Source organism: Homo sapiens, chromosome 15 (genome assembly GCF_000001405.40).
Source record: "Homo sapiens chromosome 15, GRCh38.p14 Primary Assembly".
Lineage (NCBI taxonomy): Eukaryota > Metazoa > Chordata > Mammalia > Primates > Hominidae > Homo > Homo sapiens.
The window spans coordinates 55,988,491-56,013,093 of record NC_000015.10 but is presented as its reverse complement, the minus strand read 5'-3'; the positions used below and the strand labels follow the sequence as shown (position 1 = coordinate 56,013,093).

At 41.7% G+C, this 24,603-nt stretch overlaps 1 protein-coding gene and 1 pseudogene across 3 annotated transcripts in view, besides 5 other annotated features; both read left to right on the top strand.

Annotated features, from left to right (window-relative positions):
- Positions 4,551 to 4,718: a silencer, noted in NCBI's record as "fragment chr15:56300574-56300741 (GRCh37/hg19 assembly coordinates)". NCBI's record gives its function as "represses an EF-1alpha promoter that drives an FKBP-Casp9 reporter gene in an ReSE screen in K562 erythroleukemia cells {active_cell/tissue: K562}" and the evidence as "EXISTENCE:reporter gene assay evidence [ECO:0000049][PMID:32094911]".
- Positions 5,915 to 9,789, top strand: CNOT6LP1 (CNOT6L pseudogene 1; annotated as a pseudogene).
- Positions 18,276 to 18,473: a silencer, noted in NCBI's record as "fragment chr15:56286819-56287016 (GRCh37/hg19 assembly coordinates)". NCBI's record gives its function as "represses an EF-1alpha promoter that drives an FKBP-Casp9 reporter gene in an ReSE screen in K562 erythroleukemia cells {active_cell/tissue: K562}" and the evidence as "EXISTENCE:reporter gene assay evidence [ECO:0000049][PMID:32094911]".
- Positions 19,260 to 19,359: a silencer, noted in NCBI's record as "silent region_6460". NCBI's record gives its function as "represses an Ori minimal core promoter by ATAC-STARR-seq in GM12878 lymphoblastoid cells {active_cell/tissue: GM12878}" and the evidence as "EXISTENCE:reporter gene assay evidence [ECO:0000049][PMID:35858748]".
- Positions 19,452 to 20,234: an enhancer, noted in NCBI's record as "H3K27ac hESC enhancer chr15:56285058-56285840 (GRCh37/hg19 assembly coordinates)". NCBI's record gives its function as "activates a minimal SCP1, AML or CMV promoter by ChIP-STARR-seq in primed H9 embryonic stem cells {active_cell/tissue: H9 hESC(primed)}" and the evidence as "EXISTENCE:reporter gene assay evidence [ECO:0000049][PMID:30033119]".
- Positions 19,482 to 24,603, top strand: part of NEDD4 (NEDD4 E3 ubiquitin protein ligase) — a 166,696-nt gene continuing 161,574 nt past the window's right edge. For 2 of the 3 annotated variants that reach the window (NM_006154.4, NM_001329212.2), the window contains exon 1: positions 19,482 to 19,583. In NM_006154.4, the coding sequence (NP_006145.2) occupies positions 19,539 to 19,583 (45 nt within the window). In that variant the 5' untranslated portion in view covers positions 19,482 to 19,538. Of the gene's footprint in view, positions 19,584 to 21,088; positions 21,169 to 24,603 lie in introns of all 3 variants that reach the window. The other variant, XM_011521625.4, reaches the window with a different exon arrangement.
- Positions 19,600 to 19,949: a silencer, noted in NCBI's record as "silent region_6459". NCBI's record gives its function as "represses an Ori minimal core promoter by ATAC-STARR-seq in GM12878 lymphoblastoid cells {active_cell/tissue: GM12878}" and the evidence as "EXISTENCE:reporter gene assay evidence [ECO:0000049][PMID:35858748]".

Below are 24,603 nucleotides of genomic sequence, written 5' to 3'. Positions count from 1 at the left end.
AAATTGGCTTACCATGCACATCAGGCAACAGACCTATTACAGTCATGTAACAACCAGACAATCTAGTTTGGTGTTACATGTTGTGTTTATTTCCCTTTGGTTATTCGTTATTGCCTAGCCTTTAGTAAAGTCTTTTTTTTTTTTTTTTGGAGACAGGGTCTTACCCTGTTGCCCAGGCTGGGGTATAGTGTTGCCATCACAGCTCACTGCAGCCTTGACCTCTGAGCTCAACCACTCCTCCCACCTCACCTGAGTAGCTGGGACTACAGATGCACACCACCACAGTCAGGTAATCTTAAAAAAATTATTTGTAGAGATGAGGTCTTACTATGTTGCCCAGGCTGGTCTCAAATTCCTGGGCTCAAGTGATCCTCCTGTCTTGGCCTCCCAAAATGCTGGGATTACAGGTTTGAACCACTGCACCTAACCCAGTAAAGACTTGTGTACACCATGAGCAATTGAAGTTTTCCTTGCCCATGAGATTATACTGAGAGTGACTTTAATGATTATTCCAGGCTCTAGAGAAATTCAAAGCAATCCCTCAGATTTCTTTGAACTCTACATGTGCTCATGTTTATATGTTCATTACTACTAGCTCTGGTTCAGTTTATGGGTCATCTCACTCTCTAGTGTATATTGAACTCTATGCTGTCTGTTGAACATCATACCAACCTTTACATGAAACATACCCTTCTATTCAAGATCCACACATACATGAAAGAGATATTTATGTTTAATAAATGTGATCAAATATTTTGGGGACAGATAAGGGACTTATATTGTAAAAATGCCAAGAAATTTAATGTTAAACACCCTTATTCTTTTTTTTTTTTTTTTTTTTGAGATGGAGTCTCACTCTGTCACCCAGGCTGGAGTGCAGTGGCGCAGTCTCACCTCACTGCAAGCTCCGCCTCCCGGGTTCACACCATTCTCCTTCCTGCCTCAGCCTCACGAGTAGCTGGGACTACAGGCGCCCGCCACCATGCCCAGCAAATTTTCTGTATTTTTAGTAGAGACGGGGTTTCACCGTGTTAGCCAGGATGGTCTCGATCTCCTAACCTCATGATCCGCCCGCCTCGGCCTCCCAAAGTGCTGAGATTACAGGCTTGAGCCACCGCGCCCGGCCTATTTCAAACAAATAAACAAAACCCACTACCTATCCAGTGTATGATAAGAAAACAAAAAACAACTTGGCATAGCCTATTGGGAATACTTAGAGAATCACAGAATTTTAGAATAAGAGGGCATTCCCTCACCATATGTTTTAGGTGATGCCAAAGGATATAAAAGTTTTTATTGCAGAATAGATACAAAAGTATTGACTGCAAATGTAATTTTTTTCTCTGTGTTAAACATTGAGCTTTTTTGATCAATTTTGTGTATAGAAATGTCTTCCCTATTATGTGAAAAAGTCACATGAAACAATGTAAACTCTATACAACCCAATTGACATCCATAGGGGAATAGCTTTAATAAATTGTGCTATATTGATATTGTATTTTTTCTTAAAGCTGCTGAAATGTATTAATTAGATGAGTATGCAACACAGCATAACAAGACAAAGTGTGGAAGGGAAAAAGCAAGTTGTAGAACAATGTATATACTGTTTACTGTAGTGAATTGTGCACATCAAACTTAAAACAACGGCTACTTCTGGCACAGGGGAGGGTACTAGGATTTGGGGAATTCAAATAAAAAATGACTTTAGCCTTATTTATAATATATTAATTTTTAAAAGAATAGTGCTAGCCGGGCACAGTGGTTCACGCCTGTAATCCAAGCACTTTGGGAGGCTGAGGCGGGCGGATCACGAGGTCAAGAGATCAAAACCATCCTGGCCAACATGGTGAAACCCCGTCTCTACTAAAAATACAAAAAATTAGCCAGGCATGGTGGCAGGCGCCTGTAATCCCAGCTACTTGGGAGGCTGAGGCAGGAGAATCGCTTGAACCTGGGAGGCAGAGATTGCATATTGAGACTGGGTAAATTTTTTTTTTTTGATACAGAGTTTTGCTGTTGTTGCCCAGGCTGGAGTGCAATGGCGTGATCTCGGCTCACTGCAACCTCTGCCTCCCGGGTTCAAGCGATTCTCCCGCCTCAGCCTCCCGAGTAGCTGGGATTACAGGCACCCACTACCGCGCACGGCTAATTTTTTATTTTTAGTAGAGATGGGGTTTCACCATGTTGACCAGGCTGTTCTCAAACTCCTGACCTCAGGTGATCCCTGACCTCGGCGTCCCAAAGTGCTGGGATTACAGGCATGAGCCACCACACCTGGCCTGGGTAATTTATAAAGGAAAGAGGTTTAATTGATTCAATGTTTCACAGGACTGGGGAGGCCTCAGGAAACACAATCATGGCAGAAGAGGAAGCAAACGTGTCCTTCTTCACATGGCAACAGCAAGGAGAAATGCCAAGCAAAAGGGGGAAAATCCCCTTATAAAACCATCAGATCTCATGAGAACTCACTCACCATCACGAGAACAGCATGAGGGTAACTGCCCCCATGATTAAATTACCTCCCACCGGGTCCCTCCCACAATATGTGGGGATTACGGGAACTACAATTCAAGATGAGATTTGGGTGGGGATGCAGCCTAACCATATCAATTAATGAAAAATACTGTTACTACATTAATATAAGATTTTAATAAAACACATAGAATACTAGATTATATTTGTTGGAATAAAAATATGTTATATTCTACCAAACATATTTATCTGTTATGTAACATATTTATATGTTTTGTGTTACATATTTATCAGGAGTAATTTAACCAAAATTACTCCTGATTCTTATTTGATAATAATATTGCAGGGAAACAATTTTAGAATTATTAAGAACCAGAGAGCTTTTTAGGATAACTTAACATTTCTTTTTTCATTTTTTTTTTGAGCCAGGGTCTCATTCTGTCACTCAGGCTGGAGTGCAGTGGTGTGATCATGGCTGCTGGGCTCAGGTGATCCTCCCACCTCAGCCTCTTAGGTAGCTGGGACTACAGGTACACACCACCACGCCTGGCTAATTTTTGTAGTTTTTGTAGAGACAGAGTTTTGCCATGTTGCCCAGGCTGGTCTCAAACTCCAGGACTCAAGTGATCTGCCCACCTCTGCCTCACAAAGTGCTGGGATTACAGGCATGAGCCACCGTGCCCAGGCTTTTCTGGAAATTTAAATTTTAGGTGTGAATTCTAATAAAGGACTAAATAATGTAAAGACAGACAACCCAATAAGAAGACAGGCAAAATACTTAAATAGGCACTTCACAAAGGAGGATATTTAATTGTTCAATGAACATATGAGGAGAAGGTGCTCTATCATTAGTCATCAGGGAAATGCACACAATGAGATAGCACTACTCACGTATCAGAAAGGATACAAAATTTTAAAATGACAATACCACATGTTAGCAAGGATCTGGAACAACTGAAAGTAATCATCTGCTGTTGGGAATGTACATTGGCATAGCCACTTTGGAAAGCCATTTGGCAACAGTCTACTAAATCTGAATATGCGTTTACCTTATCCCCCAGCAATTCCACTCTTGGTGAATGAAAACATGGGTGACCCAAAAGACATGTGCAAGAACGTTCATTTGTAGCTTTGTTTATAATATCTCCAAATTGGCAACAACCCAAATGTATATCAAGGGTATAGTATTCATAGAGTGAAATACTGTATAACAATCAGAACAAGTTACTGTTGTATGCAACAGTAGGATACATTGCTGTATGACAGATGCACCTGACAGCAATAATTTAAGTATACCCTTAAGAATGAACCTATGGTCTAAGAGGAATGTGTGTTCAGAGTTCTGAGCTAAGGAACCTGGGAGTGGTCAACCCAGAGTTTCCCTCCTTATCTATGAAGGACATCTGAACCCCTAGTCCATCCCTCGGAATGCAGGCTGTACATGGGATTGAGGCCCTTTGTTTTGGGTTAAATGAAAACTGCTAGGTAGAGGTTGCTAGATGGAGGGTGCTAAGCAAAAATGCTATAAAAACTGCATGCTTTTTACAAACGGGAGTGGTTCTCCTGTCCAGCCGCTGCCACTGGACCATCCCTGTGTATAATTTCTTCCAATAAACCCTATGTCTCAGTTGCTGTCTCCACATCACTTCTTCAGCCTCTCAGGATGCCATCCCTATTGGGGTCAATGGGAGTCTGGCATGACAATTGCACAGGCATAATGTTGAGCAAAGGAAGGCAGACATTAAAGCATACTGTATGGTTTCATTTCAATAAAGTTCAAAAATAAGCAAAATAAATTTGTGATAGAAGTCAGAATAGTGAATACTTGTGGGAGGCAATGACTAGTAGATGACATGAAGACTCTGGGGCATGGACAATGTTCTGAGTCTTAATCTGGGTGCCAGTTAGTATGTGCGTTCACTTGGCAAAAGTTCCTTCAGCTGTATACTTAAGACCTGTTCAGTTTTTGTGTGTTGTACTTCAATTTGAAATATTTTTAATGGCGGGCGCAGTGGCTCACACCTGTAATCCCACCACTTTGGGAGGCTGAGACAGAGGATCCCCTGAGCTCAGAGGAGTTTGAGGCCAGCCTGGGCAACATGGCGAAACCCCATCTCTACTAAAAATACAAAAATTAGACAGGTGTGGTGGCATCTGCCTGTAATCCCAGCTACTTGGGAGGCTGAGGTAGGAGAATTGCCTGAGCCTGGGAGGCAGAGATTGCAGTGAGCCAAGATCGTGCCACTGCACTCCAGCCTGGGCTACAGAGTGAGATCCTGTCTCAAATAAATAAAGTAAAATAAAATGTTTATAAAATAAAATCTCTAGCAGAGTCACATGGAGACAAGGCAGTTAGTGCCAAGTTATCCCAAGGGTGGCCCCTAAGATTGTCTGTGAGTTCCCCCTTCTGAGGCCCTGAGAGCTTTTCCAGTTTCTCTCCTTCCTGAGAACTGGTTCTTTTTTTTTTATTCTCTTGATCCTTACAATAAAAATCTCCCCCAAAATAATAATAATTAGTTTCTTACTGACATCCACTTGAGATTCAGGAAGAAATTGACATTATTCTTGAGGTAAACAGCACTGCTTTTTTTTTTTGAGACAGAATCTCATTCTGTTGCCCAGGCTGGAGTGCAGTGGCGCGATCTTGGCTCACTGCAACCTCCGCCTCCCAGGTTCAAGTGATTCTCCTGCCTCAGCCTCCTGAGTAGCTGGGATTACAGGCGCCTGTCACTACACCCAGCTAATTTTTTGTATTTTTAGTAGAGACAGGGTTTCACCATGTTGGTCAAGCTGGTCTTGAACTCTTGACCTCATGATTCGCTCTCCTCAGCCTCCCAAAGTGCTGGGATTACAGGCATGAGCCACCAGTACTGCCTTTTATAAAAAAGACAAATACCTTATATGTAAAGTGGCAGAAAAAAATGTGTTTCCCTTATACATGATAGAACCCTAGTTGAGTACAATGGAATGTTTGACTGTAAGCAAGAAATTAATATAACTGGCATCTGTACTACAAGGGAATGCCTTCAGACTTAATAGCAATAAAATCCAGGTCTAAGATCAGAATTAAAAGAATCATATCCACAGTGGCAAGAGCATCCAGACTGGGGGTCTCTTGCCAATTACTCCTCTAGGGCACACTGATCAAACATGATCCTTAATATCCTTAGTGCAACCAAAAACGCTAGAATGTTTAAAGAAGAATGTTGATGTCTTTGCTGCCCTCAGCCCCGCCTCCCCCGCCGCCGCCGCCTCCCCCGCCGCCGCCGCCTCCCCCGCCGCCGCCGCCTCCCCCGCCGCCGCCGCCTCCCCCGCCGCCGCCGCCTCCCCCGCCGCCGCAGCACCAGCACCAGCCGCGGCAGCACCAGCACCAGCCGCCGCAGCACCAGCACCAGCCGCCCCATCGCCACCGCCGCCGCCGCCGCCCGGATCCTGGCGCGCTGAATGCAGACTAACAGGGATGCCAAAGGAAAAATATGATCCTCCAGATCCTCGCAGAATTTATACCATCATGTCAGCAGAGGAGGTAGCCAATGGGAAAAAATCTCACTGGGCAGAATTAGAAATCTCGGGGAATTGCTTGTTACGGGTTTTGCCTTATGAACTTGGTGGGCTCTTCCAGCTACAAACTCTAGGTTTGAAAGGCAATCCTTTATCACAGGATATTCTCAACTTATACCAGGACCCAGATGGAACCCGAAATCTACTGAACTTCATGCTTGACAATCTCGCAGTTCATCCAGAGCAGCTTCCTCCGAGGCCATGGATTACATTAAAAGAACGAGACCAAATTCTGCCATCAGCATCATTCACGGTTATCTGTTACAATGTGTTATGTGATAAATACGCTACCCGGCAGCTATATGGTTATTGCCCATCCTGGGCATTAAACTTGGAATACAGGAAAAAGGGAATTATGGAAGAAATTGTTAACTGTGACGCAGATATCATTAGTCTTCAGGAAGTGGAAACAGAGCAATACTTCACTCTCTTTCTGCCAGCATTGAAGGAGCGTGAATATGATGGATTTTTTTCTCCAAAGTCACGTGCCAAAATCATGTCTGAGCAGGAGAGAAAGCATGTAGATGGTTGTGCAATATTTTTCAAAAGAGAAAAATTTACATTGGTGCAGAAGCATGCAGTGGAATTTAACCAAGTGGCAATGGCTAATTCAGATGGATCCGAAGCTATGCTGAACAGAGTGATGACAAAAGATAACATTGGTGTCACTGTGGTATTAGAGGTCCACAAAGAACTATTTGGAGCAGGTATGAAGCCTATTCATGCTGCAGACAAACAGCTGCTTATAGTGGCAAATGCCCACATGCATTGGGACCCAGAGTATTCTGATGTGAAGCTCATCCAGACCATGATGTTTGTCTCAGAGGTTAAAACCATTCTGGAGAAAGCCTCTAGTAGGTCTGGCAGCCCAACTGCAGATCCTAATTCCATCCCGCTGGTGCTATGTGCAGATCTTAACTCATTGCCAGATTCAGGTGTTGTGGAATACTTAAGCAATGGAGGAATAGCTGACAACCATAAAGACTTCAAGGAACTAAGGTACAATAAGTGTCTTATGAACTTCAGCTGCAATGGAAAGAATGGAAGCTCAGAAGGGAGAATCACACATGGCTTCCAACTTAAGAGCGCCTACGAAAATAACTTGATGCCTTACACCAATTACACCTTTGATTTCAAAGGCGTGATTGACTACATTTTCTATTCCAAGACTCATATGAATGTGCTTGGTGTCCTGGGGCCTTTAGATCCTCAATGGCTGGTTGAGAACAACATCACTGGGTGTCCACACCCTCACATCCCTTCAGACCACTTCTCACTGTTAACACAACTTGAACTCCACCCTCCACTCCTGCCTCTTGTCAATGGTGTTCACTTGCCTAATCGGAGGTGGTGGAGTACTGCCCCGCCAAGACGGGGATCTGTTGCTATGGACCTGTACAGTTGTAAATCAAAGTATGTAGGAGTGAAGTATGGCCATCCTTAAGCTGCTTCTTCACGTTTCTTTCTTTATGTGTTTGCTGTAAGACTTTGTACATTTTTGTGCATATTGGTATCATTTGGCAGTAGGGCTGGAACCAAAGTATTACTCTCTTTCCAAAATTTTAATTTAACATGTTTTTAAATTGGACCTTCTTTATATTGTATTAACAGCCAGCATTCAAAATTGATAAATTACCAATTTGAGGCCCAACAACAGTGTATTTGTTTTTCCAAAACAAATACTTTCTTTTGAATGGTTTCAGTGAGCCAACCATTTTATAAAAGGCAATTTTTAAAAACTATAAATACAGTATTTTAAACTGAATGATGATATGCCTTCCAGGGAAAACCTTGAATTTTTCCTTTATAACTGACTTTTGGATTCCCAAGTCATTTGCACATTAACAGAGTACTTAAATTTACTTGTTCAGTACATAAACTATGATATAGCCTCTATACATGGAAAGAAAATTTGAAAAGTTAAAGATGGTTGCACAGTATGCTTTCATAATCAAGCATGTAACACCACATGACAATTTGTTGGCCAAATGCTGGTTTGGAGTTTTTTTGAGGAATCACTTTGGTTTTTTTGTCCTCTCTATATAACCTTATTGGAAGTATTAATTCTAAGCCTGTCTCTCAAGTTTATTTATAGAGAAAGAGTAAGTAATCTGTATTGCCACATACCTTGAAAATAGAATGCGGTACGTTTAGGATGCCCACAGAATGAATTTTTCCTTATTCCAATTCAACCTTCTGTCTGGTTGTGCCAGGAAAACAGATGTTATATGACCTATATCATTTTTGCCATTATAGTCAAATGTTAAAAGAAGAAAAAAATCTGCTGAATAAAAAGGCCTTGATCAGAGTTTCAGATGGGGAAAATCATACAGATATTTTATGTGTTTCCAACACAGATTATGTGGCTGTTGGTTTTTTGAGATGACAGTGCAAAGGATTTGGGAGAGAGAACAAATTTGGGGCAGTAGTTGAAAACGTTGGGTCATTTTCCTGACTCTAGCTGCCAAATGGCCATCATATGCTTTTAATCTTTGTTTCAGTTGTCTGTCAGGGTTTAATTAAGAAGCTACTGGTTTATTCCCAATTGTTGATGCCTTTAGGTATGTTGGAATCTTTTTTTTGCCTAGGAGGAGCCAGTTGAAAATCTGTGACTCAAGAGGCAGTGAACAGAATACTGTTTTCTGGGGAAAAATTTGTTGGCTACTTGATGTTAATTATGGCACAGTAACAGGAAAAGGTTGTGTCTGTGTTTTTAAGTTTTTCTTTATTCTGCTTTTTTGCTGCTATAAGAGTTTTCTGAAATTTATATTTTAAACTTTTCATGCACTTTACTGTTTCTAGTCTCAAAATGTGATATTTTTAATAAACAAGAAATTTTCCATTATGTGAATGAAATTTTAAAAGACAATAGCCTATATTTGTGTCTCACTAATATATAAAGTACAGGTTAAATTTAAATTATTTAATTAGTTTTAAATATACACAATTTGTCTCCTCTTTCAAACCTGACATCTTAAACTGTTTTATTAGTCTTAAATGATGCATTTACTTTAGTCATTTTATGCTAATTTCTTCCATAGTAAATTAATCAGGCTATATAAGGTAATATTTCCCCAGAGGGTAATTTTAGTTGGAGGAGGGTGGTGGGATGATGTCATATCATACATGGGATTGCATCAGAAGGGTTCTGTAAAGCCTGAACTCCCTTTTAAAAGTGCCTAGTGATAGAGGCGTTGTTTGTCATCTATTATAATTGGAATGTCATTGTAGTTCAGTGAATTTTGATGTAAATAAAATATCTTTTAAAAATGTTAAAGTACCAGAATAAACAAACAAAAAGAAACAACCCTTAAGATGACAGATTTTCCTCAACATGCAGGTTTCCCTTCTTATATACCTCAAGTATCCAACATCTAGCCATGCAAATTGATTACCTGAAGCATAGTACTAGAAAGTAGAATAGCATGAAAAACTTAATTTTGTGGACATTACCTTTTTTTGTAATCAGCTACTGTATGTTTTATTTTAGATCTTTTGTTTTGGGTGGGTTTTCTGCTCTGGAGGTATATGCATTAACAAAACATTTTCCTCCTTCATATATGCATGTTAATTAGCAATGTAAGCAATATTTCCTACCATACTTCACTCCCAATATTTTTGGAGATGTTTGTATAAAATGGAATTTAAAGTTCACTTATGATTGTATATGAACCACAGAGAAGCCCATTTATTAATAACAAACTTTTTTAATAGTTAAATGTGGAAGGAAAAAATAAAAATGGGAAACATTGTAAAAAAATAAAAAAATTAAAAAAAATGAAGAGGCCGGGCGCGGTGGCTCACGCCTGTAATCCCAGCACTTTGGGAGGCCGAGGCGGGCGGATCACGAGGTCAGGAGATCGAGACCATCCCGGCTAAAACGGTGAAACCCCGTCTCTACTAAAAATACAAAAAATTAGCCGGGCGTAGTGGCGGGCGCCTGTAGTCCCAGCTACTTGGGAGGCTGAGGCAGGAGAATGGCGTGAACCCGGGAGGCGGAGCTTGCAGTGAGCCGAGATCCCGCCACTGCACTCCAGCCTGGGCGACAGAGCAAGACTCCGTCTCAAAAAAAAAAAAAAAAAAATGAAGAATGTTTAAAATTGCTAACTTATAAGGACAGTTCTCTTCTAAAGAGGGTGCATTCTGTTATAAGAAAGTCCCTTTTGTTCTGCTGAATACCTTGATAGGTTTAGGTATGCAAAATGAGCCTAGAGCTAAATTTGGGATTGAAGAGTTGAATTGTTCTGCAGTTTAAGGAAAGAAGATATTGGAGTTCCTGGTATATTCAGTGAGGGAATGGAGGGTGGAGAAAAGAAAGGAAAAGGATGACAGGAAGCTAGGGATTATGTGGGGAGAAATGGGCAGAAAAAAAATAAACAACAAAGAAACCCTGGTTGTACACCCCTTTAAGAATAAGGGTGTTGGCTGGGCGCGGTAGCTCACGCCTGTAATCCCAGCACTTTGGGAGGCTGAGGAGGTGGATCACAAGGTCAAGAGATCGAGACCATTCTGGCCAACATGGTGAAACCCCATTTCTACTAAAAATACAAAAAATTAGCTGGATGTGGTGGCACACGCCTGTAGTCCCAGCTGTTGCCCAGGCTGGAAGGCAACGGCGTGATCTTGACTCACTGCAACCTCCACCTCCTGGGTTCAAGCGATTCTCCTGCCTCACCCTCCCGAGTAGCTGGGATTACAGGCATGTGCCGCCATGCCCAGCTAATTTTGTATTTTTAGTAGAGATGGGGTTTCACCACGTTGGACAGGGTGGTCTCGAACTCCTGATCTCAAGTGATTCACCCACCTTGGCTTCCCAAAGTGCTGGGATTACAGGCGTGAGCACTGTGCCCAGTGACAGATAGTGTTTTAAACTCAAAAATATCTGCCTCAAACTTTGTGCTGCTATAACAGAATATCTGTTGGGTAATTTTAAATGGACAGAGATTTGAACTCCTGGGCTCAAGTTATCCACCTCAGCCTCCCAAGTAGCTAAGACTATAGGCACGCACCACCATGCCTGGCTAATTAATTTTATTAATTTTTTTTTTTTTTTACAGACAGGGTTTTGCTATATTGTCCAAGCTGGTCTCAAACTCCTGGCCTCAAGCAGTCCTCCTGCTTCAACCTCCCAAAGTGCTGGGATTACAGGCATGAGTCACTACGCCCAGCTGATAATTACCTCTTAAAGATCCCACCTCTCAACACTGTTGCACTGGGGTTTAAATTTCCAACACATAAACTTTGGGAGACATATTCAAACCATAGCAGAAGTTACTTTAGTTTTGGCCTCAGAAATGAGTCAGAAGAAAAAGGAAGAATTCACATGCTACAAATTTATAGTAAAAGTTGCTTACAAAGTATTTATCTGCTCTTCAGTTTCTTCAACCAAAAGCTAAACAAGTTTGTACAGGTAGACAAGACCTTTAGCTTAATTTATAAACGGCTTCCTGCAAAGCCCTCAAGCCATTTTATCACTCATCATCTCTTAAAAACAAAACTGGAATGTTAATCTATTTTTGGTAGAAAAAGTTGGAGACCATTTTATCAAATGGCTTAGACATATGAAGCTGTATGTAACTTAAAACTACTTATTTGCCGCAGAAATATTACATATAAAGAAAGAAGACAAAACTACACACACACATTACATTACCTATAGAATAATATTGAGCACTTCTAATTGCTTGCCAACTTCTCTTCTTGATCTTATAAGGAGATAATCTTATTTTCATTCACACATTTGAGTCATTTTAAATAATAGTGTAGAAACACCAGACCTTTAGTAGGAATCCTTATTTATAATGCTTTTACTCTACATGTTAAAATAGAATGGAAGAAATATCTTAAATGTTTAACTAAAAATCACTTTTATAGGCAGATTCTCTTATTCAGAATTAAGAATAGCTAGTGTATACTCAGGAGGTTGAGGCAGGAAAATCATTTGAATCTTGGAGGTAGAGGTTGCAGTGAGCTGAGATCGCACCACTGCACTCCAGCCTGGGTGACAGAGTAAGACTGACTCTCAAAAAAAAAAAAAATAGCTAGGGTAAAAGAACCCACAAATAATGTCTTTTCTTCTCCTAGGAACCATATAAAGCATTTTGCATTTCAAATTATTATCTTTCTTTTTTTAATAATTCAGGCAAATATAATCAGAGAAATTCTAAATGCTACTCATTTTAGCTGAAAGCTCAAGTTATTGTAGAAAGGCAACACTTTTGTAATATTGATATTTTAACCTCTTTTTCATTTTACCACTCAAAAATTGCTAATAATTGAAATGGAATGTTCTTTGTAAGTTTATTTTATATTTGGGAGCTAAAATAAACAACAGCATTTGCTTAAAGGTTTTGAACTATGGCATATTAATGGTACAGATATGGTTTATCTATTGCAGAATTGAGTCATATGCAATAAGAAACAGCATAAAATCCATAAATAAGATTTTATGAGGGAAAAAATCAGTGTTACATATACATTTTTCCCCGTTTCTGGCAAATATAATCTTTCATTCATATAACTGTTGACTGGCTTCTATGTGTCCAATGGGAAGATAAATACAGTTCCTATATTCAAAGAACTCCCAGACTAATTCAGGGAGAGCTGCAAGACAATTTAGGTACTGCTGCATAGGAATCCTAGTTCCTACTATGGGGTAGAAGGGATGCTTCTTCCAGGAGACACAGCAAGGGTCCCACTGTACTGGAAGCTATGACCACCACTTGGTCATTTTTGAGCTTCTCATGTTAGTGGACCAATAGACAAACATAGTAATTACCGTATTGGCAGGGAGGTATAGGAGCTATGGTTGAGTTACACAAGAAAGACAAGAAAGCGTATGTTTGGAACTCAGGGGATCCACCGCATATTTTAGTACTTGCATGTCCAATGACAATTCTAAATGGGCAATTACTAGAACCATGACCCAATAAGTTAAACACAACTGACAAATCATACCTCTTGGGGAGGAAAATCTGAGTCCCCACCAGGCAATAACCTAAATTTGCTGAAGTACTGGCCAAGAATGGGAAAATTGAGAGTGGGTGGTATAGGAGAGAGATAATGCATATCATTTATGACCCTGAGACCAGTTACACAGTAGATGCTGCAGCTTATCCTAGAAACCCTTGTCTATCAAGTCTTTTGGAGAGGTAAATACTGGACACACCTCAAAGACCCTACGGCAGAATGGACTAAGTGTGGGGCAGATCTGCACATGTATTAGATTCCTCTTGCACTCTGACTCATACCCTCTCAACTAACCTTTACTCCAGTCCTTGCTGCAGCAACCAAAGATGTAGAGATGTAACCAGACAGCAACTCATTTTAGTTGTTTAATGTATATTTCACTTTCTGCCCCTGTGCCTCACTGCCACTGCTGTTGGACATACCTGTAGGAGCCAATTCAGCCATTCTATACACAAGGAAATCTGCAAATATTAACATCCTATGAAATAACCCCTGTCCAATAGGGAATGGAAACTAACGAATAAATACTCCCTTCTTGGTAGAACAATTCTGAGGTACATTCTATATGACTCCTGAAGGGTCCTTAGTGATATCGAGCCCAAATCAGGTTAATCATGTAAAGGAAACTAAAAAATTTACAAAATCACTGCATGGGTCTTATGCCATTCCTTGTTTTACTCTTTTCAGTCCCTCACTCATGTTTCCTAGGCTCAGTCGCGTTCCGATAAATGTTTAATAACTGCCTCTCCAGGAAAATAAAATGATCTTGGTTTGTAGTGTTTGCCTATTTCTGTGATATAAATACACCATAATTTCAAGCTACCAACATGACATCACCAAATCTGCAGTTGGATAGAGGTGTACACAATTGTACCTTGGATGCCAGTATGAGTTGAGTCCAGCACACTACTGCTTGGGAGTGTGTCTCAAAAAAAATTACTGCATGCAAACATTTGTCTCAGAAGATATAGGGTGAAACAAAAAAAGACAAAAAGCTACCAGTCTGAGCCAATTACCAGACAATGATGGGTGTACCGACATTAGCCATGGATACCAATAAGAAGAGAAAAAAAATCTTAGGTAGAAGAGGAAAGAATTTCAATTGTATAACAAACTGGTGATAGGAAGAAGTTGTAGGAATGGGCAGGGGGTATGAATTTTAGAATACTCAGAAGTCTCTAGCCTTTGCAACTAGATAGACAATAATGCTATTTCCAGAGACACAGAATACAGGATTATAATGAGTTCATTTTGGGATCTATTTAGTTTGAGACTTTTTTCATGATACCAAGAAAGAGACAGTTAGTGGGAAATACAGGTCTGAAGCTTAGGTAAGAGATAAGGGTGTGGAAGCTATAGCAAGGTATTGTGAAATTTTATTGTTGATAACTACTTATATTCCTGGAATATCCTGCCGCCCTTCCTCTGGCTCCAGTCAGACAGCAGTGAGGTTTTCTGATTACTGCCCTCAGGCTAGAACTGTTACTACAGAAATGAAAAGAGAAAGATAAGTCAATGCTCAGCTTATAAGTTTTAAAATAGAGCTTTGAAACTCCTGGTAGAAAAAAATATGTTGACACTGGGTATGATGGCACATGCCTGTAATCCCAGCACTTTAGGAGGCCAAGGCAGGCAGATCACTTGAGGCCAGGTGTTCAAAACCAGCCTAGCCAACATGGTGAAACGCTATCTCTACTAAAAATAGAAAAATTAGCCAGGCATGGTGGCACATACCAGTAATCCCAGCTACTCAGGAGACTGAGGCAAGAGAATCACCTGAACCCAGGAGGCAGAGGTTACAGTGAGCCAAGATAGCACCACTGCACTCCAAACCTGGGATTATAGGCGTAAGCCACCGTGCCCAGCCATAACAAATCTCTTTATATATCTGCATCCTATTGGTTCTGTTTCTCTAGGGAACCATAATACAGGGTCTTTAATCTGTCAGTCTGGAACAGTTCCTCCAACTTTCTTGACTTCTATGTCCTTGACACTTTTGAAGATTACAGGGCAGATATTTTGTAGTACGTTCCTTAAATTGGATTTGTTTTCTCATGATTAGATCCAAGTTATGGAGGAAAAGCAATGGGTTGCAAGATTTTGGTTTATCAAATGTTCACTTTGATCATTTGATTAAGGTGGTATATTTCAGCCTTTTAATCTATGTAACTAAGTACTTTCTGGAAATATATGTTGAACCCTGTAAAAATCTCATTTTTCATTGAACTTTGAATGTACTCATTTATTATAATTTATATCTGTAATGAACACATGGTACCAGAATTATTCATTGGATTATAATCTGTTGCTATCATAATTTATTTTAGTGCTCAAGTTAGGCCATCTTTGGCCAGTGGGAGCTTTTTTCAGGTTGGTTCCTGTGTCCTTTTATTCTGTCTCCATCATTACTTTCATTATTTTCTGGGATAACAAGATGTTTCAGGCTCAACTTTTATTTGCCTTGTCCTAGTCCTGGAATCAGCCATTTTTCCAAGGAGCCCTGGTTTCTTTTAGTAAAAAGTTAAAATATGGATGCAAGATATGCTCATTGCTTTTGGGGTGTCATTGTTCCCAGGCCCTCTTAGAATACAAATGTAGAAAATATTTGTGTGTGTGTGTGTGTGTGTGTGTGTGTGTGTGTGTATGCAGCAGAGGTTTACATCTACATTTATTTATATACTATATATATATGTTAAAAACTTTTGAGTTCATATCAACACCACCAATTTCATTATAACAACACAAGACTCATTCAAGTTTTCTCTTTCCATTCTTGTAACTTCTTCAACAGTGACTAATGTGGTTCTCATTATCATTCATATATTCACTTATTGGATCACTTGTCTCTACAAGTAACTAATTTCCCATTTCTGCCATCACCAGTCCACCAAGCAAACCCTTCCTTGAACACACCTGGGTCCCACTGCCTTGCACCTGGCCGTCTTTCTCACTACCTCCCACCCCTTGTGGGGTGAGGAGGGCATTTTAAAAGATGACCATGATACCTGAACTCTCTTCTTTACTCCTTCCTCTGCCTTGTAACCTGGAACATAGACGTAATGATTGAAGCTTGAGCCACTCTCTGGACTATGAGGATAAGGGTCACACCTACAAACATCAGAGCAGTGAGCTGTGAAGTGCCTGAATTTCTGACCCTTTGGCAGAGCAAACTAGCCATATTAACCCTGCCCTGCCCACTGTCTAGACTTTTACATGACAGCCATATAACATGAATCTTTAAATCTTATTAGTTTAGGTAACAGCCAAATGTAATTCTACTTGATAAAGATGTCCACAGCTAGAGGCCAGCGGGAACACAGATACATCTACTAATTCCAGGAGGGAGTGATGAGAACCTTTATCACCAAGATGAGGGAGCACAACAGCCTGTTAGAAGTCAGAATCCAGCTTAGCAAAAAGAGGGTCAGGCAAGACCAATGAATTGATTGGGACTATGTATTCTACTACTGGAGGCAGAAACTTAGTTCATTTCAGAAAATCAAATAAACATTTCTTGCACTACTGAGCTCTGGATCTGAGATGGGCTCTATGAAGAAAGTAGCTGAAACTATGGTAATGGCAATGGCAATGGATGAGGTCCAGGGAGTTTCCAGTGGAAGAAAAAATGAACCTTAAAAATCTCAAACATTAACTATTAGAAAGGAAGCAGCCAGGGGATATTAAGAGTAAGAGAGAATTAAAGGAGAACTTCTGAACAAGACTTTTTTATATCCCTTAGGGAATTAATTACCAACATTAAAGTGCATTTCGTATCATTACCTTTCATATTGTTACATTCCACATCCAATTTTGATCCCAGGGGGTGATATTTTAAAAACTAGAAACAATTTCTGCATCACAGTGAAATCTATAGGCAGAGTTAAAGAGGTTTACGTATACAGACTACTAGAAAGTCTAGACCAGGTTTACTGGTTTTCATTCATTTCTTGCTTCTTAATCAGTTTGGAGGCTCATGTAAAGGCAGATTTGAAGGGAGAAAAGACTCAAGAACAAGAGATAGAAGGGGTGATGCTATTGGAGGTTGCTAGAATTGCCTGGATTTTGGCTTGGGATGATCCCTAGCACAGGTATGAGGCACAGAATCAATTGTTATGCACCATGTCACATTCTTCACACGTGCCTCACATGGTTATACACACACTCAAACCAAATCAACATGAACCTAATTGAAGGCAGCCTAGGTAGACAAAACGCCTTCATGAGAGTTCTGCGCAGTTGAGTGATATGTAGAGGAGTTCTTCATTCTAAACAGCTTTCTCAGTGGTGGTTGGTTATTGGACCACCAGCTGATATCACCATCCCGATTTGAGCTTCCTTTAATTTCAGGTGCCCCTCCTAGCTGTTGACCGGGATACAATAATTACTCTAGTTCATCTTGTATTGGTAGCTGTTTAATTCTTCATGATTTCATATTCGGAAAGACAGAATAAGAAATCATGAGTCAAATCAGTGGTCTTTAGAAGTATCATCACTAATACCTATTGGATACATCAAATGGCCAATTTGCTTTACTTTATAATCCCTTGGGGATTTACTGATTTTTTTTTTTTTAATTACCAGTTTTAGGCTGTGTATACTTCTCATATATTCATTAAATTTTAGTAGCAGTAACGGAAGCTGTTTTTACACGTTTGTAATTGTGCCCTGAAATGACACTGAATTAACTTAAATTCAAATGACTTAACTAACTTAAAATTAAACATAAAAATGTGTATCATGAGAGATGAGGGAAATATTCGCAAAATAGAAGGGCACACAATATTTTCAGATTATTTTATTCTTAACCCACAAATCCCACAGATATGTGACAACTTAAAAAACAAATTAATGCTCTCATGGCTTTTTCGATTTAGGTAAGCCAACAATTCCTGACCATTCTGTAATTTTGTAGTCATGTTTGATTAAGTGCCATCTCTTTCCCCCTAATACGGATAAAATCTGAATTGTGTATTAACAGAATTTTGATACATATTATATGAATGAAATGGATCCTACCAATCATAAAGTACGACAATTGAGGTGGAGTCTTGTTCTGTCGCCCAGGCTGGAGTGCAACGGCGCAATCTTGGCTCACTGTAACCTCCTCCTCCCAAGCTCAAGCGATTCCCTTGCCTCAGCCACCCAAGCAGCTGGGACTCCAGGCGCCCGCCACCACGCCCAGCTAATTTTTGTGTTTTTAGTAGAGACAGGGTTTTACTATGTTGGCCAGGTTGGGCTCGAACTCCTGACCTAAGGTGATTCACCGCCTTAGGTTTCCCAAAGTGCTGGGATTACAGGCGTGAGCCACCGCGCCCGGCCAAGTACGAGAAAAATCTTACGTAACAAACCAGTAATATGGGCTATAGCCTTGTTCCCACGTAGCATCTTAAACTGTTAAAAATAAATCAGAGTTATTCTGAAATCATTGAGGAAAATAAAAATTAGATTTTGAGATTGCAGAATTCTGCAAATTTCTGCAAATGTATAAAAACAACATGATATAAATTGTGGCCTGGGTGTTCATAATTCTCCCCAGACTCTTTTATGGATGCCTTATTTGGTGGAGGTCTTCCTGTAATTATGGAATTATAAAGCCCATCAGACAGGAATATTAAAAAGCATGATTATTCCATAACCTTATTCCACAGGAGGAGTTATTCCACAGGAGGAGTTATTCTACAGGAGGTCCTAGTTCACTTTATTTTTCCCTCTTCGTCACTGCCTTCTGGTGGTGCTGCGGATCAACGCCCAGCTAAAGCAGGTTTAGAGGGTCAGCCTGGAGATTGGATTGTTACTGGTGGGATTTAAAGATGGACAGACCATAGGACAACAAATAGCTTAGGAACTGGCACTGTTTACAAATCCTAGGGAGAGAATTTCAGATCCCGAGTCCAAGACTGCTGCGATCCCTCCAGGCCTCCCCATTTGCTGCCACGCTCAGGCTTTCCCTGGCGGTCCCCAGGTCCAGCTTCTTATGGGAATGACACCCTTAACCGACAAGAAAGCGCTATGATTTTCCGTTTGGGATTTAAGCGGGGATTAAGCTCACGGATTCCCAGGCGTCTAGTCAGAGGCCGAACTCTGGGTCGGATCTCAGCGAGACTTGTTGCTGAGGAACACTGCAGCTTGGCTTCCCGGCGCTTCCCGGCGCTCCCTGGCTCCCCGGCGGGCCCGTCAACCACCCACCTCCCGGGAAGGGACCGAGGGCGCGCCCCGCCACGCGCGCTCCCCACGCCATGGTCCCCGCCGCGCGCGCTCATCCCACCCGAGCCCCGCCGCACGCCCTCCCCACTCCCCGAGCCCCGCCACGCGCGCCCCCGCCCAGCCCCAGGAGCGCGCGCCGCCGGCCTTTTCCCGCCGCGCTGCCGGGTGCCGCTAGTGCCCGCTCGCCGCGGGAGGCGCTGCTGTCGCTGAGGGAGCGCCTCCTCCTCTTCCTCCAACTCTTCCCCGCCTCCTCCCGCTTCTCCTCCTCCTCCTCCACAGTTGCCTGCCCTGGGCGGGGGCGAGCGCGTCCGGTTTGCTGGAAGCGTTCGGAAATGGCAACTTGCGCGGTGGAGGTGTTCGGGCTCCTGGAGGACGAGGTGCGGGGACCGCGGGGCTGCGGGGCGGGCTTCCCTTCGGGTTATTCAGCAGCCGGACCCGGGGAGGTAGCGGCGGCGGCCACGACCGGAGGCTCTGCTGTCAGCCCCTCCTCCCTCGGCGCGAGCCTGGGGAGCGCGCGAGGCGCCGCGGGGACTGTGGGGGCGGCTCGGCGCGCGGGCGCTGGGGGCTCGCTGGAGGGAGCAAGCTTGTCGGGTCCACACCCGCCCCTTCCCGGAGCGGCCGCCGCCTTACTTGTCAGTTTCCTTCAGGAAGTGTTGAGGAGGGGGCTAGGCGGTCGGCGGGGGACCCACATCACCGCGCCAGCCCCTTCCTGCCACCCCCGCCGGGTGTGCGGAGCTCCCAGGCGTTGGGAGACGGTCGCAGCATCCCCGCTGTTGATTTGCTTGCTCTGGCGGAGGCCGGGCCGACTTAACTTTACGGACTTCGGTCTGGAGAGTTCCAAGTGAATTGTCATTCGCTGGTTTGTTTTTTTCTTCTTTATCTGAAATCCTTTTTAATCCCCTAACTAGAGACAGGGATGGGAGAGCAGGAACATAAATTTTCCTCCTCCTCTTTAGCAACAAGTGTCTAGTGTGAGAAGTTCATGCTTTATTTCACCGGTCGTCGTTGATGTTAAAAAGTGAAGCCAAAAAAGTATAAATACTTTATAAAGAAGTTACCACATCTGTTCCCTTTGAAAACTAGATTAAGCTCTGGGATTTGAAGAAGGCAAAGCTGTTTCTTTTCAGCTAAATAACTAATGCTGATTATGCCTATGCTTATTAAAAATATTGTACGACCATTTGGAAAGGTTGTTCCGTCGTAAATGATATGTGGCTTCTGTGTGTTCTTGGAGATTGTCTCAAAAATGCAAATGGGTGGGAGATGAAAAGGCTGCATGTAGTCTAACAGTGACTGGTTCCGAGTGAAAAAAATCAAGTTTTTTGCTTTCTTGTTGGCTGACTAAGCTGCCACATGTACCTTTTATCAAGATGAGACCCAGTTAACTGAAAATCCATCAACCTAATTTATACTGCTTGCTTAAGTATTGTAATATTTAAGTTGTATAGTTCCTTCTCTTAGTACCTTGGTGTCGTCAAACATTTTACACTTCTCTTGAGAGTTCTTTGTTTATAAAGGGTGGGCAATTTGTTAATGCAGTTATTTCAGGATATTTTGAGAATGCTTACGTGATGCGATTAGAATTTAATTTCCTAGCTATTGCTGCCAGAAGAGAAATAAAGTGATGATGGACAAATGGTGGCGGCTCATAGTCCCTCAGAAACAATAGTCAATGTGTTACAGCTAAAGATATCATTCTAGCTAATGGCACCTTTATTCTGTAGACGAGATCAGAAGATAATACAGCACTTCACCTGTGGTCGCTTTCTTATCAGTCAGATTTCCCTGCTTGCTACGTAGACTGCCCAGTGCAGTTGACTTCAAGGTGGTGTCCAACCCAATCAGGCTGACCTTGGACTTTCTTTCCCTGCTATATTCACAGGTAGGCCCTGCTAATTGCAGATTTCTCATCTCACCGCCTTCCAGCAGAGCCAGTTGATCTTAAAGAAAATAGTGCCAAAGGTATCATTCACCATCTGTTTTCTCCCTCTTGGTACATGATCAGTGTTTTTAATTATCTACTTTAGTAATTTCTCTGTTTTCAATCATCACCCCTCTGCCCAGCTGAAATAAAACTAATTGTGGCAGTTAATGGGTGGTCGGTAAGGAACTGGGGCCAAAGGCCAGAAACTCCACCCTTTGAAATGTGGATTTCCTGAACTTGCTGAAGGATTTGTACTTCTAGGAAGTTTCATGGACTGTGGCCTATCCCATTCACATTCTGGGAGTTCTGGCTGTCAGTTCCATGACTCTAATTTGCTTCTGTCCCCGCTCTATTTTGTCCACATTGAGGAAGGGAGTGAGATAGGAAGATAAGAGACATGATGATGAAGAGTCTTCCACTTCTTCCATTGTAATTGGATTATTCATTCAACAGACATTCATTTACTGTTTGCTCTGTACCATGCATTGTGCTAGGCACCAGGGATAGAGAGGGAAAAAAGACAGTCTCAGCCTCGGACTGAGGGAAAGATAAAAGTCACTTTTTTTCTTGTGGAGGTTGCCCTCTCCACTATCATTTGCCATTTATTTTCTGGTCTATCACAAAAGTAAAAGAAGGATTGAAACCACACTCCCCCATCCTCCCCACCCCCAAACACCCCTTTTGTTAAAGGAAGAAAGCATTGCAGCTATGTCACTTCTAAAACTCACAGACTAGTCTGGAAATAGGCAGCCCTCTGCTGTTGATTAAAAGTAAAGTGCTTTTTCATTACAACAAAAGGAGAGGATTCTTATTTTAAATTTGAAACTAAAACAGGGAGAAAAATAATTTGAAATGGGATAGAAGATAGTGAAAGAATTGTAATTTAATCAGTATATAGTGAATAGTCGCTGAGTCAGTGTCTGAGCATATTAGCACTGAAGTATGCTAAAATGTAGATCATAATACCTTTCTCTCACTTTTCAGTGAGTTTTGGCTCTTCTTCCACATATAAGTGACTTATAGTAAGAGATCACCCTGGCTGCATGTGCAGGATTTTACCTTTAAAGTGTTAACAAACAAAGGAGGAAGTGTAGTATAATTTATACCAGATTTGCTCTGGTCACTTGAGATTCACAGTAGAGAATAACATGCACTGATCTTTATTGGAGAGCAGTGTGGTGGATGCGGGGACTGGAATTGAGCATCACTTCCCACCTCCTTCCCATGCACCTCCCTGTGATATGGAGGTGGGAAAACTAAACACTGTTTCCCACACTCCATTGAAATTAATGGACTGGATCCAAAGTAGGCTCCCCAGTTAAGTGCACTTACTTGAGATTTGCAGAGTGGAAATGAGGTGGAGCATATTGTTTTGTTTCTTTGGCTTTTTCTGCTGATAAGCACAGTCATGTAAACATCTAAATTTTCTGCGAAAGTATTCCAGTATCTGGTAACTTGCTTTGTACATATTGATAGGAAGTCACCGAAGTAGTGGTGGTAGTGGCTTCCAGACGTCAAGATTGATTATATTCTTGAAGTCATCAGTTCTGGTGATGACTCCTGATCATCTACCTTTCTGACTGGGAGAGGTAGTAGCTTCCTGGATGGGTCAGTTCTGCCATGTTTCTGATCTTCTAGAACTGCAGTCCCCAACTGTTTTGGCACCAGGGACCGGTTTCATGGAAGATAGTTTTTCCATGGACCGGGGATGCGGTCCAGTGGTTTCAGGATGATTCAAGCACATTACATGTATGGTGCACTCTACTTCTATTATGATTACATTGTGATATGTAATGAAGTAATTATACAGCTCACCGTAATGTAGAATTAGTGGGAGCCCTGAGCTTGTTTTCCTGCAACTAGATGGTCCCAAGTGTGGGTGACGGTAATGGGAGACAGGGAGACAGTGACAAATCATCAGGCATTAGATTCTTATAAGGGGTACACAACCTAGATCGCTTGCATGGACAGTTCACAATAGGGTTCATGCTCTTATGAGAATCTAATGCCGCTGCTGATCTGACAGGCAGCAGAGCTCCGGAGGTAATGTGATCGGTGAGGAGTGGCTGTAAATACAGATGAAGCTTTGCTCACTGGCCTGCCACTCACCTCCTGCTGTGTGGCTGGTTCCTAAGGTTGGGGACCCCTGCTCTAGAAGTCCAGCCTAGCACCTACTCTTCCAGCTCTTCCAAAAATTTTGTAAGCATCTAATCCCCTGTATTAGCTTCTTTCTTCTTAAAGCATCTAGAATGATTTCTGTTTCCTATAAGAAAGGCTGACTGAAGCAAGGAAAAGAAGGAAGGAAATAAAGAGGAAAGAGTTCAGAGTCTCCGCTATCGGTATGGAGAGTGCAGTTTGCACATACAGAATAATAGATGCCCCTGGTGGCAGCAGCCACAACAGTGCATAAGTAGCAGGGTAAGAAGGGCATATTCTGATACTTCTGGACCCACTAAGGCTGAGCAGAAACTGACCCTTACTCAGTCTGGGAACAAACTTCCCAAACCTTTATGTACTACACACAAAGGAGGAGAAGCATAGGTTAAGCAGCAGCTGTATTAGTAATTTCTCCCAATCTTTCATGTATTGTTTTTGCCATTAGTGCTTTTTTGCAACTCTTTAATTCCAGGATCATTGTAAAGTATTTTTCATGGAGCAGGGACTAAAGAAGTGAATAAATATAGTGTATTTTTAAAATAATTTATTTTTAAATTATGTATTTACTTTTGAGACGGAGTCTTGCTCTGTCACACAGGCTGGAGTGCAATGGCGTGATCTCAGCTCACTGCACCCTCTGCCTACCAGGTTCCAGCGATTTTCCTGCATCACCCTCCAGGGTAGCTGGGATTATAGGCACGCACCACCACGCCCAGCTAATTTTTGTATTTTTGGTAGAGATGGGGTTTTACCATGTTGGCCAGGCTGGTCTCGAACTCCTGACCTCAGATGATCCGCCTGCCTCGGCCTTCCAAAGTGCTGGGATTATAGGCGTGAGGCACCGCGCCCGTCCTATTTTAAAATTATTTTAAACCATCAGAAAAGTTGAAAGTACAACACAAAGAGCTCCAGTATTCTTCTCATACAGATTCTGCAACTGTTAACCTTTTCACTGCAATTGTTCCATCACCTTTTTTTGCCATTTTCATTAATCTTTTTCTGAACCACTTGAGAGCAAGCTGCAGACACAATGCCCCATCATCTTTAAATACTCTAGTGTGTATTTTTCTAAAACAAGAATACTTTCCTGCATAACAACCATACCCCCTTCCAAGCTAGGAAATGGACACTGATACAACAATGCCATTCAATCCACAGATACCATCCAAATTTTGATAAATGTTACTAATAATTTCTCTTTTTCCTTTTCTGGTCTAAGAACCTATCTGGGAACATATATTGCTTTTACGTGGCATGTCTTTGCAGTCTCTTCTAATCTGTAACATTTCCTCAGTTTTTCTTTTTTTTTTTTTTTT